This window comes from Homo sapiens, chromosome 4 (genome assembly GCF_000001405.40).
Source record: "Homo sapiens chromosome 4, GRCh38.p14 Primary Assembly".
In the NCBI taxonomy this organism is placed as follows: domain Eukaryota; kingdom Metazoa; phylum Chordata; class Mammalia; order Primates; family Hominidae; genus Homo; species Homo sapiens.
The window spans coordinates 20,376,293-20,396,281 of NC_000004.12; the positions used below are offsets into that span (position 1 = coordinate 20,376,293).

Consider the following 19,989-nt stretch of genomic DNA (forward strand, 5'->3'; position numbering starts at 1 on the left):
CATTTCAGTATTGTTACAAAAATAGTTCTAACCTATAGGGACCCGTTGAAAAGTGTCTCAGTGACCCATAGATGACCCTGGAAATCACTTTGAGAACTACCATTCTATATTTTTTAATATGAGATAATTCCATTGTAGAAAGCATACTTCAAAATTCGAAGTTTTGATGTATCTTTCAGTTACCCAAAAATTCAACTTGACTTTTAATGGTGCAATGATGCCGAAATCCCCCTGTCCGTGCATCAGTTTATTTTTCTACTGCCTATTTGCATGATGGTTAAAAATATGGGTGAAATGATTTTCTTCCCTTTTAGCCCCTGCAAGAGACCTTATCTTTACATATGCATCTTCTTTACTCGACTATAAACTCTGTAAGAAGAGGGAGTATTCCTGGGCAGCCATAAAAAAGGATGAGTTCGTGTCCTTTGCAGGGACATGGATGAAGCTGGAAACCATCATTCTCAGCAAACTGTCACAAGGACAGAAAACCAAACACTGCATGTTCTCACTCATAGGTGGGAATTGAACAATGAGAACAGTTGGACACAGGGCGGGGAACATCACACACCAGGGCCTGTCGTGGAGCGGGGGTTGGGAGAGGGAGAGCTTTAGGAGAAATACCTAATGTAAACGACTCGTTAATGGGTGCAGCAAACCAACATGGCACATATATACCTATGTAACAGACCTGCACGTTGTGCACATGTACCCTAGAACTTAAAGTATAATTTAAAAAAAGTAAAAAAAATAAAAAGAGAGAGAGAAAGTATTCAATACTGTATCCTATCTAATTTCTCAAGAAATATGTGTTAAATGACTGAATAAAATAGAAAAGATAGGAAGAAGCAAATGGAACATATTAACAATATTAACAAATTTGAATAAAATGCTAATTCTTGAGAAAATTGGTAATAAATGTCTAAATCATTCTCAAATAGAAAAATGTTATCAAAATTTAATTTTACAGTTTGTATATGAATGTATTATATTCTCTCAGGTACAATTGAAAGAAACTTACTGAAAGTGAATACATCTATTAAGATTAAAATTAAATGAACAAAAACTCTAACAATGTAGAAGTATATGGACTTGCTTGAAATGATGGAAATGCTTCTAAGTATATAAAATGGGAGGTATTATCAGTATTATAAACTAGTAATCATAAGCCCTACCCTCCCCTGTCATGCAGAGTTATAAGTAGGGATCCATAGAAGACAAATAAAGAGCTGCTCATACTCCATTTCGAATTGGACCGCCTGGATTCTGGTGTTGATTGCATATGGCAGTCCCATCATAAACTTACTCAGCCCCTCTGGGCTTCTATATCCTCCCACAGAGAAACTTTGTAACAATGGAAACCTAAAATGTAACAGCTGTTTACTTACATTGAGGGAGTGAATTTCTCACTACAGAAGGGGTTCAAGTCCAAGTAGGTAGGACAGTTCCCCAACTCTCAGTTTATTTCATTTGAAGGAGGTAGTTGGTTTCTCAGACTGCTCCCCTTAGTCCTGCCCATATCTAATAGGTGTGGTATCTGTAATGCTAAAAATTCATACAACGAGTAGCAAAAGTTGTGCCTAGAATTTATATGCATAGTTTGTACCATTATTTTAAAAATGAAGAATAAGGAAAAACTATATTGAAATCAATAATCACCATAATGGTGGTTTTAGAAAGTTGTTCTTGTGACCTAATAATGTGGTGAAGAGATTTTGATAAGTCCCTACACCCAGCGTGTGTGGATATAATGTCATTATGATATGTATTATTATACTGAGATGCAGAGATTCATTTATAATTTACAAATAAATTAATTATGATTGAAAAAGGCAGAATATTTTGGAAGCTGTGTCCCAGTGACTGTACAATTTTCCCAGAATCTCCTAAATGATAAAAGTGACTTATAAAAATCAGTTTTACAAAAGGTGACACTGTTTAGTAACATACATTTGCAAGTTTCACATAATAGAAAAAAATAATGTATTCTTTATTTGAGGAGTGAAGAAATCTATCTGCATGTAAACAGGATATGACATTCCTTGTTGCTAACTTAACAATGTGATTACAGTTTACATATTTCTTCGGATAGTGGTGCTTTACTAGTAAATGACTATTTATCCTTTTGATACACAAACAAGGGCTTATTTTATATGTAGATGCCATAAGGATTACTCATGGAGTTTCAGAAGATTTTGAGCTTTTTTTAATTAGGAAAATGATCAGACATACAGAAATATTGGAAGAATGTATCATCTATATAGTTATCACATAAACTCAGTAGTTGCTAGTATTGTGCCCCATTTGATTCATCCATACATTTATTTCATGAACCATTTGATCACCTGTATTTTCAGTAACTGGAAGGTTAATCTAAATATGTGATAACGACCACTTTGGAAAACAGTTAGCCAGTTTCTTACTAAGCTAAACATCTCTGGGCATTGGTATTTACTCAAACAAGTTGAAAACTCATACTACATGATCACCTGCATACATATATTTAAGGAGCTTTATGCATAATTGCCAAATCTTGGAAGCAACTAATTTACCCTTCAGTATGTAAATGAATAAATAAACTGAGGTACATCTAAGCAATGGAGTATTATTCAGTGCTAAAGAGAAATGAACTGTGAAACCATGGAAAGACATGGAGGGACCTTAAATGCATATTAGTAAGTGAAAGAAATTAATCTGAAAAGGCTACATACAGTGTGATTCCAACTCTCTGACAGAGTACAGAGGGGTTTTAGGCCAGTGAAACTATTCTGTATGATACTAAATAATGGTAGATGCATGTTACTGTAAATTTATCTAAATACATAGAATGCACAACACTAAAAGTGATTCCTAATGTAAACTGTGGGCTTTGGGTGATAGTGATATGTGTCAACATAAGACTCATCAGTTGTAATAAAGATACTACTCTGCATGGGGATATTGATGGCATAAGAAGCTCTGCACATGTGGGGGCAGGAGGTATATGAGAACTCTGTAATGAACATAAACTGCTCTAAAATTAATAAAGATTATTAAAAATAACGACATTTATTATAACATTTTTGAGAAGAATACTTTACAGATGATATTATGTACTTTATTTTATGTTACATTAGAGGATATATGTCGCCTTATCCAACTATTAATGATAGTAAGTGTGAGTGCTTGATGGATCATCTTAATACAACACATAAATATTGATACTGATTTCAATTTCTTTGGTAGCAATTTAAATATCTAATCCTCCAGTTATAATTTCCATAAGCAATAGAAACTAGCCACTGTGAATGTGTGTTCTTTACTGACACAGACCTGCCTTTGACTATTTTGAGTGGTTGGCATTTTAAAGACTTCCAGCTGCATTAGAATGACAGGAATGGGATTTACTCTCCTGCTTTAACTAGAAAATTAATGAAAATATATGGAACAATAGTTTCAGAGATTGAACAATAATAAGCAGGACAGGAGAGAAATTTATGAGAGATGGGAAACAAGGTGAGCTCCGCGACTCCCCAAGCTTACTATCGGGAAGGAATTTCAAAACAGTGCGGGGAAGGGGAGCCCAAACAGAGGTGTAGTATTTTTAAATAGAAGAGAAAGACTTCGAAGTTCAGGGAGGACGAGGCAGCTGGAATTTGAGGGGTAAAATAGCATAGAGGAAGAAACTACCTAGAGACAGCTCTGGAACACTGCAGAGGGGTTCAGTCAAGTGTTTGGTAGATTACTGATCTATGCTTGACTGTGATGAAACTAGGTAAGACGAGGGAATTGATCAATGTAAAGGAGTATGTAGAGCAACTTCAAGAGTTCATGCAGGAAGAGAATGACTTTGTTCTTACCAGCAATAGGACAAAACCCTTTTATGCAAGACAGCAGGTAGAGTCCTCAGAAAAGTATTACCTCAGTAGTATGGTCAAATTAGTCCCAGATCAAATGCTCTTCTGGACTTCCCTTAACAAATCTTATAAGCATTTCTCAAAATGAATAAACAAATCCAAATTGCTTAGCTATATCCCAGAATATAGTCCTATAATATTTAAAAGGATAAACCAAAAGTCCCCAAACCAACATTGTACAAATTGCAGTATCTTACATGCAATAAAAAATTACTAAACATGCAAGGAAGCAGGAAATAAGACCCATAAACAGAGGAAGTAAAAATCAATAGAAAAAGTTTCAGATAGCACTGAATAGAAGAATAAGAGACAAAGATGATAATTAGGTATTGTAATTATACTCCACATGTAGGACATGGAGGAAAACATGAGCTTGATGAGGAGAAAAATGAAAGATAAGAAAAGATGCAAGTCAGTCTCAACAGATGAAAAATATATAAAAATTAAAAATACACTGTATGTGAGCAGTAATAGATAAACACTTAAGAAGAAAAAGTTAGTGACTTGAAGACATTACACTAGAAAATAAAAAAATGAAGCAGAAAAAAGTACTGAAAAGAAAATGAACAAAGTATCTTCTGTGGGAAGATGTTATGGTGGCATATCATACATGCAGTTGAGGTTCCAGGAAATAAGGGGGACAAGCAGAAAAATAATAAAATACGTGTAAAAATTTTTTCCAAATGTATTGACAATTACAAACCCCCAAACTAATAAACTCAATGAACAAGAAACAGAAGAAACATGAAGAAAACCATAACCAAAGCACATCAAAATAAAATTGCTGGCTGGGTGTGATGGCCCACTCCTGTAATCCCAGCACTTTGGGAGGCCTAGGCGGGTGGATCACCTGAAGTCAGGAGTTCAAGACCAGCCTGGCCAACATGGCGAAACCCCGTCTCTACTAAAAATACAAAAATTAGCTGAGAGTGGTGGTAACGCCTGTAATCGTAGCTACTCGAGAGGCTGATGCAAGAGAATCACTTGAACCCGGGATTCGGAGGTTGCAGTGAGCTGAGGTTGCGCAACTGGGCTCCAGCTTGGGTGACAGGTGAAACTCCATCTCAAAAAATAAAAAAAAACAAATAAAATTGCTGAAAACCAGTGATGAAGAGAATATTTTAAAAGCAGGCAGAGAAATCAATGCACAAATCATACAGAATAATAAATATAAGAATAGCAGATTTCTTGTCAGAAACTACACAAGCCATAAGACAATGGAGTGACTATTAAGTAAATTTCTTGGTCAACACAGTTTTAGCTGTATTTTACAAACTGTAATGTATTTTCGTTTTCATGTTCAGTTTGAACAACTTCTGATTTCCCTTTTTTCATGTCTTCTCTGTTCCATGGATAATTTAGAAATATGTTACTTACTTTTCCTGATACCTTTCTCTTGTTAGAAATCTCAATTTTCCAAAAATAGATAGCATGTAGTATAACCTGTATTGATTAAATAAATTTCATAGTTTAAAATCTTTCTACCAAACAAACTAACAAAACTAACAAATGATGAGCAAACAAACTTCAAGGCTGTATGTCTTCATTGGTGAATTCTGCTAACATTTAAAGAAAGTATAATGTCAAGTCTACACAGATTTTTTTAGAAAATAGAAAAGGAGAGAATACTTCTCAATGTATTTTATGATACAAAAATCAGAAAAATTCATAACAAAAACATAAAACTCCAGACCAATATCCTTCATAAATACATAATACATATGTATTTGTATAAATACATATGTATTTATGCATAAATACAAAACTGTATTTATTTATACATAAATACAAAACTCCTTTTTAAAAATTTAATAAATCAGTATATCAATAAATAAAAAATGTGATACATCATGACCAAATAGGATTTATCCCAAAAATGCAAGGTTGGCTTTAAGATTTGAGAAATCAAGCATTGAAATTCAATATATTAACAGATTTTTTTCAAAAGGAAAAAGGATTTGACTAAATTTAGGACCCATCCATGATCAAAGTTCTGAGCAAACTAGAAATAGAAGGGAACTTCTGCAAACTGACAAAGGGCATTATTGAAAAACATGTAGTTAACATCCTCCAATATGGTGAAATGCTTTTCCTCCAAGTTCAGGAACAAGACAAGGATGTGCACTCCTATCTAGCATTTTTCCAGATGTCCTAGCCTGCCTAGTAAGTTTTTAAATAACTAATACAGCTTGAAAAAGAAGCAGTAGAGCCTTCTAACATGATCGTTTTTGTAGAAAATCTTGAGGAATTACCCAAAATCTACTCAGACCTACAAATCGGTTTACCAAGTTAGCAGTATGCAAGATTAATGTATAAAAAATATATTTTTGTGTGCTAGCAATGTAATTAAAAATTTAAAAATCACCATTGACAATAGGATCAGAGAATACGAAATATATACACATAAATGTAATAGAATATATATTCAGTCTGAACACTGAAAACAGCATTGCTGCGAAAGGTTAGAAAAGTTTCAAATAAATAGAAAAATATAGCATACTATGAGTTGGAAGACTCAATACTGTATCAGTTCTGTACCAAGTGATCTATTGATTCAATGCACTTCCACTCAAAATATCCACAAGTTTTTCTGTGGAAATTGACAAACTAAGTATAAAATTGATATGGAGATGAAATACAAAGTTTGAATAGCCAAAGTAATTTGAAAAAAATAAAATAAAATTGGAGGATGTACAAAACTGATTTTAAGACTTAATGTAAAGCTGCAGTACTCTACACAGTGTGGCTCTGGCATAAGGTAGACATAGATTAGTGGAATAGAAAAGAGAGTCAAGAAATAGCTCATATATAACCACATACATGGTTAGTCAATTTTCAAGAAATTACCAAAGTAATTAAGTAAGGAAATAATAACCATTTGAAATGATGTTGAATAATTGCCATCCACATCTGGAAAATAAACCTTGATTCTAATGTCACACCATATGCAAATATGGGTAGCTAAAACCTTGCAACTTCTAGTAGAAATAATGGAAGAAAATCTTAACTTTGGTTATAGCAAAGATTTCTTAAATAGAACACAGAAAGCAGAAACATTAAACATTCGTCCTCTCCAAAAGACACAGGTTAAACAAAATAAAAGCCACAGACTAGGAGGAAGTATTTTAAAAATACATATCTGATAAAGGATTTGTGTTCAGAATATGTAAAGAACTCTTTCAACTCAATGATAAAAAGATAAATGACTCAATAAACCAGTGGGCAAAATATTTGAACAGGTATTTCACCAAAGGGGATACAAACAAACACCTGAAAATATGCTTAACATATTACTCACTAGGAAAATGAAAGTTACAAATGCAATGATATACCACTAAGCACACACTTGAATGGCTAAGCTTAAAAAGACTTCCAGTCCCCAGGGTTAGCAACCATGTGAAACAACTGGAACTCTCACATATCACTAAGGGGAGTGCAAAAATGGTTCATTTATATTGGAAGACATTTCAGCAGTGTCTTATAAAATGAAACATATACTTCCTATATGACCAGTGTTACTATTCTTTTTTTTTAAGCTGGAGCCTCACTCTGTGTTGCCCAGGCTGGAGTACAGTGGCACAATCTCGGCTCACTGCAATCTCCATCTCCCGGATTCAAGTGATTCTCCTGCCTCAGCCTCCAGTGTAGCTGGGATTACAGGCGCTGGCCACCATGCCTGGCTAATTTTTTTAGTATTTTTGATAGAGATGGGGTTTCACCATGTTGGCCAGGCTGGTCTCAAACTCCTGACCTCAAGTGATCCACTCACCTAGGCCTCCCAAAGTGCTGGGATTACTGGCATGATCCATCACACCCAGCCAGTGTTCCTATTCTTAAGTGTTTTTCCAACAGAAAAGAAATTTTTATTCACACCAAGGCTTATATGCAAATATTCAGAGCAGCTTTTTTTTTTTTTAACAAAAAATAATAGTCAAAAACCAGAAAAGAACTCAATTGTTCATTAGCTTTTTGCTGTGGTAAGCAAATGTGATATGTATGTACAATGGAATACTGCTCAGCAATTAATAAAAAACAACTATCAATACAGATAACTCTCAAAAGCATTATGTTATGTGAAAGCAGCTAGCTGCAAAAGATCCCAGGTTGCATTTTCATGTATATAATATTCCAGGAAAATCAAAATTATTCTGATAAAAAACAAATCCCTGGTTGTCAAGGGTTGGAGAGAGATTAAGAGCAAACAGATGCAATGGAACTTTTTGGGGTGACAGAAGAATTCTGCATCATGACAGTTTTAGTGGTTACATGACTTGTAAACTTAACATTCATTAATTTTACTGCTCATAAATTATACCGCAGGAAAACCGACTAAAAATAAGATATAAGAATCTATCTTCAGACAAATCCTAACAATTATACTGACAGTTGTGTCACTAAGAATATTTCTCACTAATTGGTTCAGAGTTGTGGGCTGCTAAATGGATTAAAGCAAACCAAGAAAAGAGCTTAATATTATTTTAGAAAGGAACCGTTGAAAGATAATCCTGGAATATAGCCACATAAGGAGATTAGCACATACTCGCCAAAAATTTAAATCTTTTGCTATTTAATGAAATCAGGCCAAGCAGCAGCACTTGTCAGTAATTATACCGGTGGTGACAATTCATATGTATATGCTTTATGGTTTTGAAAGTAAGTTAAAATATGTAAGCTGAAAGACTCAAGGGCCTGAGACACATTCTGGCCATAGGAGCAAGTAAACAAAACATTTTCATGGGTGCAAGATAGATGGCATCAAAAATTGGAATGCCGTTCAGAATGCAAAAGAACTTCCAAAATCTTTACAGTCATTCTGCTGGTCTGTCTGCTTTTCCTGCTCCTACTTTCTGACGATCTCTTCTTGGGTATCTTACAGTCTTAACTCACTGAGACTAGATTTGCTGGACTAAGTAAGTCACTGTGATATAGAGGACCTCATTGGGAAGAGTTCTTGGATTAGATCACCTTTGCCAGGGTTAGGGGTTGTTTGGGGCCAACAGTCCTCTCTGGTCTACACTGTTGTAATGAAAATCAAATGGCGAATGAACAAACAAGGAAATATACTAGCATTTTATAATCTACAAACTATTTGTAAATTATTTCATCTAATTCCTCTAACAGATATTATAAACTTTTCTTTAACAGTTGTGTATTTTCAGCTCTTTGCACAGTGAGCTAGTCTTGGTAGATGCTCAGTAAATATTTGTTAAATGAATTCATTAGGAGATTAATGAATGGATTGAGGGAGATGTGAATATATCAGTGATGTCCTCAAAAGTTGTATAGCTTGGCCAAGTTCAGAGAGCTTGGCACATGTTAAAGGAAAGGCAGTGGAGGACAGTAAGCAACTAATTATACAGGTTTTGCAGTCATATCTGCACCTTCACTTGCTGAGCCTCTGTTTATTTCATCGGTGAAATAAAGTCAGTTGCATTTCTCTTCAGGATTTTAAGAAGTTTTAGGTGATAAAGGGTTGCTGTTTGCAAACCCAAGAGCACATACCAGCACTTAGGAACTTCTTAATTAAAATTCAGGATCTCTGATTATAATTCCTGTGATTCTTGTCATTACACTGTGCTTCTGAAATATGAGTGTTCATTTAGTATATCAAAAGAAGAAAATGAACACAATTTTCATCTTGGGAGAAATAAAACCATACAGTTTCTTTATTTCATGTTTCTTCTGCAAATTTTGCTTATTACTGTTTTTCTACTTGTGGTTGCTTATGTAATTCTCTTCTTTGATAACTGAATGATGTATCTTCCCAAATTTAGTAAAATATAACTTATCTAGAAACTACATACATTTAATTTCAACTAGTTATAACGGCCAAAGTCCAGGATGTGAAGAAAATAAGCAAAATACACTTTCACCTCCCCCCACCAAAAATGCCATAATGTGTATGATATATGTATAAGTGTATAAAAGCTCATGCATTTGACTCATAAGAGAATAATTTGGGCTTTACTTAGAGCTTGTTGACTCTTTTTGCATGTAATTGTATTAAGCTGAATGATCTGATTTTCCCACAAAGAGCAGATTAAAACTAGCCAATTAAAAGGAAGCAAGAGAATTGACAGCAGTGAGAATTAACAATAATTTCCCACAGGTATTACTCTTCAGTAACTTTACAATACAATGTTTATGGCTTCATCTAAGATGTAAAATATTAATTATGCTAAAAATGCTTCTTTAATAACGGGTTGTGTTTGTGTGACACAAGTGTGTCACACAAGTGACACATTGTATCTTCTTAAACTATCTTAAACATAAATAACTCAGAAAATATTCCTTTGTTGAGCAGCATTTATGAAGCCCTGCAAATTGAATTAGACTTGTTGAAATATGGATAATGATGATTCTGCAATAATACCAATGTGCAAGCCTCACTTTTTGATTTTTCAGAACATACTGAAATTCTATTATTCAGTCCTCAACCACTGATTTATTGAGAGCTATTTATATGTGTCATACAGTCCAGTCTCTCCTTAGCACAGATATTGGGACAGACTGATTCCAAGGCATACTCTAGAAATGGGAAAATATAAATGTTTAATAGAATAATCTGTAATTTATAACCTACAAGGAACAAATAGCTATGTGATGCATGATGACCTCTCTTGTATGCAGATGGTTTTTGTTCTAACTGGAAGAACGGAATTGTAGCATTTTCTAAATAATGAAACATGCTCCCATGAACCACGGGGTATGTGGTGGGCTTTTATTATAGTTTTAACTTCTCAGCCTCTTATGCACATTTCCTTTGGGGGATTCCTCTCAGTATGATTTGTGGTAGAGACGGGGTGTGGCTTCAGCAGTGGTTATCAGTGCTGTTCTCTTAGTATTTCCAGCTTTCTGTCTTACAGGACGGAATTACCTGACCGCCTTCTGGTAGGGTGAGCCTGTGACTGCTGTGGGTCAGTGAGATGTGAACAGCAGTGATGGGTTTTTTCCAGCTGGATTATCCGAGTGCTGGTGTGAGACCCACTAGAGCAGTACTTAACCTTTATTGTTGTTCTCAGGGCTCCTTTACACTGTTAAACATTTTTGAGGATTCTAAAAGGATGTAGTTTACGTTAGTTATATCTATTGATATTTATTGTATTGGAACTTAAAACTGAAATTATAAAAATATTTATTAAATTATTTAGAAGAGTAAAATAAACCCATTCCACATCAATGTCAGTAACATATTCATATAAAAATAATTATGTTCTCAAAAAAAAACAGTGAAAAGAATAGTATTGTTTACCATTTTTGGAAATCTTAATTTTTAACTCAAAAGAAGACAGCTAGATTTTCGTATCAGCTTCTGCATTCAATCTTGAAATATCTCAGTGTCATGAAGCCTCTGGAAAACTCCACTGTGTGTTAATTAGAAAGCTAATGGAGAAAGTGCCATGGGAAAATACTAGGTACAGCAGCAAAAGAGGCCAAAGAGCTGTGGTAAAACGAGAGGAACTTGGCCAGCCAGTGCCGGTTCCCAGATGGAGGCCCACGGGCAACAAAAAGAGAGGCCTCTGAGAGCAGAGGGTGGCCACCAGCCGACAGCAGCAAGACAATGAAGACCTCCATCCTAGAACCACGTATAACTGAATTCTGCCAACAACCTGGATGGGCCTGGAAGTGGGTTCTCCCCTATGCCTCCAGTAGGGTATGCAGCTTTACTGACACCCTGATTTCAACCCTGGATCTACAGGGTTGTAAGGTAAGAAAGAGGTGTTGTTTTAAGCCACTTCTACCCCAAAGCAAGCAATGTATAATAATTTATCATATTAATAAACTAAAAAACAAAAAAACACGTTTCATCTCTATACATGTAGAAAAAGCATTTGACAAAACACCAAATCCTTCCTTCATAAAAATCTTCATGAAACTAGGAAGTGAAGGGAATTTCCAAAAACTGATAATATGACATCTATGAAAACCCGACATAGAACATCATATTTGCTGGTAAAAAATGCAAAGTTTTCTTAAATATGGTATCAAAAGCACAGTTCTAAAAAACTAAACTGAAACCTTGGGCTTCATTAAAATTTAAATCTTCTAGTCTTTGAATGACACTGTTAAAATTTAAGCCACAGACTACAATAAAATATTTGCATATCTTATATTTGATAAAAGACTTGTATCCAGAATATATAAAGAATCTGCAAAACTCACAAATAAGAGCAAATAAGCCAAGGAAACTCAATGACTTGAGCTAAATTTTAAAATAGGGTTAGGTTATGGACTGAAAAACCAAGCTTAAAGGGAGAAGTGAATTATAAGGAAGAGGAGCAGCATTAAAAATATTACGGAGATACGGCCAGGCATGGTGGCTCATGCCTGTAATCCCAGCACTTTGGGAGGCCGAGGCATGTGGATCACCTGAGGTCAGGAGCTTGAGGCCAGCCTGGCCAACATGGCAAAACCCCATCTCTACTACAAATACAAAAATTAACCAGGCGTGGTGGCGTGTGCCTGTAGTCCCAACTACTTGGGAGGCTGAAGGAGGAGAATCGTTTGAACCCAGGAGGCAGAGGTTGCACTGAGTGGAGATCATGCTCCTGCACTCCAGCCTGGGTGACAGAGCGAGACTCCGTCTCAGGGGAAAAAAAAAAAAAAATATATATATATATAACATATGTAAAATATATATAATATATAATATATATAAAATATGTATTATATATAAAATATAATATATAATATATATAAAACATAATATATATAATATATACATATAATATATATAATATATAATATATACACACATACATGTATATATGTCAAAAAATATATGTCAAAATATATATATGTATATAGGAGATATGAACAAAGTCAAAGTTTAAAAATATATAGTTAGTTCACCATAGTTTATGCTTAAAATATCTGTTCTTAGTCTTGTTATCCATAAAGTTAATGGGTATTTGTGGTGGGTAGACATTACTATTTATTTTTCAAGCGTATGATAATCAAATGAGATCATTTCTTTCAGTTTATAACTGTAAATTGCCATTAGAGATATTATCATCACTAATATGTTATTGTAATTATTATAGGGTATTATTATCATCAATATATTATTGTAATTATTATTATTGAAGAACTAGCATATCATTATAAAAATGCAACAGAAACAGGCAAATAACATCTAAATATTATTATGAAAATAGTTTTGAACTTGCAGATATCCAGGAATTCCCAGACTCCACTTTGAGGACTGCTACGCCAGGAGTTGTTCTTTCTGACATGATAACTAGATAGAGTGGCTATCTCTTCTGGAGTGAACACAACGTGTGGCAGAGTTCCCAGCTAATGTATAATGGGACATTTAAAGAGAGTGAGAAATTAAGTTGTTATGTGTTTTTTTTTTTAACCACCGAGATTTTGAGAGTGTTTTGTGGCTACAGAATAATCTAGTTTTTCCTTTTATAGTTTCCAAAACAAAAATGCAAAGGGCCAGACACTCACTTTTTTGAAGCTTTAGCAACCAGAGGTGAGCATAAGACTTATCTGCAGCCAATTACATACTCCTATCTGGTACTTTGAATGAGGAGCAGATGTGAAGAGGAGGTACAGATGAGAGTTTATTCTAGTAGTTGTGGTAGCTGTAGAAACACCCAGGTACCAGTGGCAGCAAAGTCAGTTATCATTAGCAATGGAGGCTCTATTGCCAGACATGTATTAATGTCTGATATTTGACAAAACAAGTATCTTCTCTTAGTTCTTATCTGCTTGTGACCTTGGTTTTCCAATCATCCGATAAATACTCTCCTTGCTTACATTATCCAGCTTTCTATTCTTTGCATCTAAGAATCTCAGCTAGCTTTGTGCAGTCCGATAAATGAGGTTTTGCTCTATAAGAAGTTAAAATTCAGAACTCTCCAGGGGTCTCCAGACTTCTTTGATCATAGTCCGTATCAAGAAAGAATGTGTACATGTAACTCCAATATATTTCTCTGCTAGAGACTTGGATCACTTTTATAGGTCAGACAAGTCTTGCTGCATCAGAATACCTTATTCTAAAATGTAACCTCACTATTCTAATTAAATGCAAAGTCAGCTGTCTGATGGAAATGTAAAATATTGTATATAAGTAATATACAAAAAAAATTGCCGTGCATTGAATAATTGACACTATTGATTTTGCTTCACCAATAAGCATCTTAAAATATAAATTACAAACATGCGTGAGGCAAGTACTATCACAGAATTTTCAAGACTGATGCTTTGCAGTGGATGATAGGAAAAATAATACAGAGATAACATTAGGATGCAAGCTGTATAGGCTTTGATATTTTCTGACAGAGGGGTTCTGGGGCATGGAGTGAGTTCCTAAAACCACTAGTAGTTTGAGTTGAAACGTCATTTGAAAAAGACATCACAAAGTTCCTATGGCACTGTCGGCCTGCTGCATTGAAGAATGACTAGTTTCCTTTTTTGTTGTATTCTTCATTTAGAAGTAGTGCTGCTTTAATTGGCATTTTAGGATTAAAATTTATTAAAAGGAGTATGATTAAATGTAAAAGAAAATATCAACACATTATTTTTCAAAGTCATTATTTTCAACATTTTAGAAAAAGATCTTATTTTTTTTTTTTAAAAAAAAATATATATATACTAAGACAATTAGACTTCCCCAAATACCATAAAACAGACCTTTGGTTTTTTACTTCATTGTAAATTACTGAAATTCATTACTTAATTGTATGCTATGAAATTCTTTGAAAGTTCATGATTACTTTCAAGTTAAATTTCAAGTTCATTGGAAAAAATACACAAAGTATCTGAATGCATAATCTTACATAATTTTTTCCAGAATTTTAATTTTACGGTGCCCATAAATAATCCACTTAAAGATGGAAAACATACTGTGCTTCAGGGAAGTATGCATACAAGTTGCTTTTATCATAAATATCTATTTGACTCTAAAGGCCAAAGAGCCTTTTTGTAAAAACGGTTAGAATTGTCGGGGTAAATCCTTTTACCTATGTAAATTACAGAACTTGTTGCAGAATAATGTATATGTTTCTCCAGGCTTCTCTGGTGGGTGATAACCTGATAGTTTTTAAAAGTGCATCAGCCACAATGCACATAACCCATCTCAAAAGCATCTTGATATTCCTGATGCATGAAATAACTGTTTTGAATGACTGGCAAAGTGTATGAGATGGAGATACAACAGTCAGGGAAATACACACGAACAGAAACCACCAAGAGGACTGCCAGCAATTTCATTGCACCAAGTGTTTATTCAACTGTGGAAAGATCATATTTGGCATAGAAAGTACATTCTTTACAGAAGCTGACTATATTGTTCAACAGATAATTTGCCTTTATGGCTGATCCATTTAGACTTAAGCTGGAATTTTCATGACACAATTCATTTGCTGAAAGCATATTGTTGAAAATGTGAATACTTTGAAGTGCCAGGTTAAAAACATGTTTTAGCACGATTTCTGATTCAACCATACAATACTGGATGGTGGAATAGTTGAGTAAATGATTGGCGACCTGGTTATCTTTCTGAGTTGTAGGTTCTGATGGTTCCTGACTTGACTTATGTTGTCAGAAGAAGTTTCTGAATGAGATTATTTAAAAAGATAGAGTTAGTAAAGATGGCTTGATATCTATATGGTTCTTTTCTTTGTTTTGAAGACAACGTAGTCTTCTTTTGAAAAAAAGTCCTCAAAATGGATATCATTGATAGTACTAGTGTGCCATCTTCTAGAGGAAGAAACCAAGTACTAGGTAAGAGGAGAATGTGGGATTCTCAACGATACCAGAGATCACTCATCAGTTCAGTGCAGAGTACTATACCTATGCTCTTCAGGAGAAATTGATAGTATGCCAGTTGTTAGCATGAGAGAATTTTATATACGGTAATATGACACTTAACGATGGAGATACATTCTGAGAAATGCATCACTAGGCGATTTTGTCATTGTGTGACATCATAGAGGGTACTTACACAAACCTAGATGGAATAGCCCACTCTACACCTAGGCTATATGGAATAGCCTATTGCTCCTAGGCTTCAAACCCATACAGCATGGCACTATATGGAATACTGTAGGCAATTTTAACACAATGGTAAGTATTTATGTATCTGAACATACCGAAATATAGAAAAGGTACAGTGAAAATATGGTGTAAAAGATTTTTTTAAAAAGGTACACCTGTATAGGGTGCTTACCATGAATGAGGCTTGGAGGACTGGAAATTGCATCGTTCATTGAATGAGTGAGTGATGAGTGAATGTGAAGGCCTAGGACATTACTGTACACTGCTGTAGACTTCATAAATATTATATACTTAGGCTACACTGAATTTATTTACAGTTATTTTTCTGCAATAATAAATTAACTCTAGCATACTGTAACTTTTACTTTACAAACTTTTTAATCATTTATAATTTTTGACTCAAGATAACACAGCTTAAAACACAAGTACATTGTACAGCTGTATAAAATGTTTTTCTTTCTTTATATCTTTATAAGTGCTTTTCTATTTTTAATGTTTTTTCTTACTTTTTAAAATTTTGTTAAAAACTAGAACACAAACACATATATTAGCCTAGCCCTACACAGGATCATCAATATCACTGTCTTCTCCCTCCATATCTTGTCCAGCTGGAATGTCTTCAGAAGCGATAACACACAAAGAGCTGTCATCTAGGATAACAATGCCTTCTTCTAGAGTACCTCCTGAAGAACCTGCTTGAGGCCATGTTACAGTTAACTTTTTTTATTAGTAGGAGTACATGCTAAAATAATGATAAATAGTATAGTATAGTAAATACATACACCGTACTGTAAGTACATAATATTAGGTGCTAGATTTTTATATCACTGGTGGCACAGTAGGTTTGTTTACACCAGCATCACCACAGACACTTAAGTAACGCATTACACTAAGACGTCACAATGACTACCACATCACGGGGTGACGGGAATTTTTCAGGTCCATTATAATCTTATAGGACCATCATTGTATATGCGATCCATTATTGACTGAGACGTCTTTATATGGCTCATAACTGTATGATAATTAAAGATACATATGAGAACTTTCTTGCTGATACCGTTTGGATTTCTTCTGATCTCTTCCATTTTGAGAGCCTATGAAGCAGCAAATAGAAGCCTAATTACATTTCTGTTCTCCTCCCATTCCCCCCAGAATCCTGACCCTTGGGAATGGGATCTGGAGCCAGTGGGAAGCATTCTCCGAATATGATAATGTGGTTATCTTCTGACGAGTGCTGGCATTATCACTTGTTGCTAGTGAGCATTTTTTAATAAATAATTTTTGCTCTTGAATCTTAGAAATCTTTAATATCTTTAAAACCTTGACTAATTGATTTTTATCATATGTTCACCCTCTTGGTTGATTTAGAAAAAACACCAGGCTTGTTCTGAGGTTCACCCGACTCCACTGCATGTATTACGTGCATGTGTACCTTGGAATGGAAAATACATGACTAAGCCCTGTAAGTTATGAGCTTTCCAGACACTATAATTCAGGCTGGCATGCTTTCATTTTGTCCCTTCTTTCATTCTTTTCTTTCTGCAAGAGCTTCCTACATAAGAGGATGAAGCCATTGTCATTTTATAGACTTTGAAAGCTTATGCTCATCACTGAAAATTCATGGCTTGTCAAGCTGAACTGCGTGGGTTGTTTTGCCTTGTGAGCCACGTGCATTAACACTGGCTGTATTGGTGATCACAGAGACTGAGGGCAGCATCTTTATTGGGATAGCCAGCAGTGCTGAATCAATCACGTCCTGTTGTGGTTGGATCTGTATGCAGATTGTCTTTGCACAGCATGACTTAATAAAAGCTGGCCATGGTGGTATTTTATTATAATTATGATGACTTAGTTGCATTAGCATCAGCCTCAATCACACAGTAAAAGAATATTTGGTGGCTGAACTAGGAAGTGTGAGAACCTCCATCATTTGACTACTTCAGATGGTGTATTCATGATCCTTGAATTAAAATCAGGCAGGTAAAAGGGTTTTCAATGAAAAAAAAACATGAAAAAGGAGTTTGAAAATATATAACTACTAAGGAAAGGAAAATAAAGCCTTGAAAATTGGTATCGCATAAGCTTACGTGGTATCATTTTGTCGTTTAAAAAAATGTGTCTCTCAGTCTTTACTTAGAAATATGTATGGAACTTTATTTAAAAGTTTCCCTTAAATGTGAACTTATGTAAAATCCTTGTTTAGAGTCTTTGTTAGGCTACCATTTCAGAATAATAAGATTTTACCCCCATGCATGTGATCCAAAGCATTACACCTCTCCAAGCCACCTACTAATCTTGTCTATTCAAATGGGATTTTTTTTTTCTAAATAGGAGACAACTCTGCACTGTATCCTGCTATTCTTCCAACTGCAGGACCTCATGGAGCGAGAGATCCAAACCTTTCTGAAGTACTTTACCTTCTACCTTTTTCATGCTACTCAGGATTGAATCAATTGGAAGCCAACAAAGCCATTCTGTGTTACTGTGCCTCCTGACTGTCAGCACGCTGCACTGTGCATTTAGATAATTCTGCCAGAAGGCATTTTTATAAAAACAGCTTTCAAAATCTATTCTTGAAAAGACATTTGTATACTCATTATGCCATTCTATCATTTATCCATAGGGAGTTCTGTAAATAAAACACTGAGGTCTAATACTATAGTAGCTGATGGCAGTAATCTTGAACAGAGTAATTTCTTTTTCTTTATTTATCTCGATAGTGCACAGCTGGTTATGAAAAAATAATCACAAGGCTTTGTTGTTGGTGGTGGTGGCTGCCTTTTTTGGACAGTAAGCCGTGATGACTCAGAGTCTCTGGTAGAAATAATTGCTTTTTATTTTTTGCATACACCTGTCCCAAACCTCTTTTACTCTAAGATAAACAAGATGGAAATAGATTTACCTTAAATAGATGACCATCCACATATTGCCATTTTAATTACATAATTATGATTTATCTATATCTTCTAAACGTTAAGCATTTGTGAGTGGGTGTTTTGCTATATGACAGAATTAGAAGGTAAATCCTGGGCCGAGATGTGAAGGACGAGCAGAGCTTTGTTGCCCTCTCCCAGCATAAGGAGGAATACACACAGAGATTTGGAGTATGGAAAGGAATGTGGTTAGGGAAATTTAACTTCTTCAGATGGCTGTTTTGTCAGGTACCTGCAGGGGGCAGAGTTGCTGAAGGTTCAAATGCATAGGCAGGAACCTGATTGAGGGCATGGAACAAAGGATATGGATTTTATTCAATAGGATTAGGGACCATTGAGGTATTTTCTTCAGGAGGTATATGATGTGATATAATTTACCTATTTTGAAGAGTGTTCCAGCAACAGTATGGAGGAGAGCTATTATTTAATTATCTTTCCTGGTCAGTTTAAATAATCATAGCATCATTGGCTGAAGTGCAAATAAATAGTATACCAAAAAAGCATTGGGCAAAATGCAAATAAAATACATTACCTTTATAAATAGCTACATGCTAGCTCTTAACACAGATCATTATTTTTTAAAATTTAAACCACTCAACTGATCTCATATAGACCAATCTTTAGCTGTTAAAAATATGAATGTTACAAGCTAACCCCTAACTTATACCTTTATTAAAACACAAGTATTGAAAATTTTAAAAGAAAACTAACAGTAACAAAGACACACATTTTTTCAAGCAATTTATTATGTGATGCTGACATTTTTGAGAGACCTTAGACAATGATTTTTATTTACTAATGTTAAACATTACAAAGTAAAATTAATATAAGTAAAATAGTATTTTTAAAAGGTAGATCACAAGAATATACTATTAGTAGTAAATATTTAAAAGTACCCCCCCAAACTACATTTCATTACTATATTCTGTCATCCAGGTACATACCTTGGAAATGTTTTGGCACAGAGTATATAATAACAAAAACAAAATTGGATAATGGCATTGTTCTACCTTTATATCTCTGATTTTTTAACACAGCAGAATTTAATAAATGCTATGTGTCTGCATATAAATGTATGTGTGTATGTATTTAACAAACACCATGTAGGCCTTATTATGTGCAAGATACTGTCATCAGCACTTTTTTTCAGT

General features: G+C 34.5%; 1 protein-coding gene and 1 long non-coding RNA gene across 8 annotated transcripts in view; both read left to right on the plus strand.

The window, feature by feature from the left end:
- The window catches only part of SLIT2 (slit guidance ligand 2), a 368,657-nt gene that overhangs the window by 124,388 nt on the left and 224,280 nt on the right, over nt 1-19,989 (plus strand). The gene's annotated exons all lie outside the window — the stretch shown is intronic.
- Nucleotides 15,897-18,564, plus strand: SLIT2-IT1 (SLIT2 intronic transcript 1). The gene is made up of 4 exons (NR_037876.2): nt 15,897-15,971; nt 17,058-17,161; nt 17,274-17,367; nt 18,237-18,564. It is a non-coding gene; the product is annotated as an SLIT2 intronic transcript 1 (long non-coding RNA).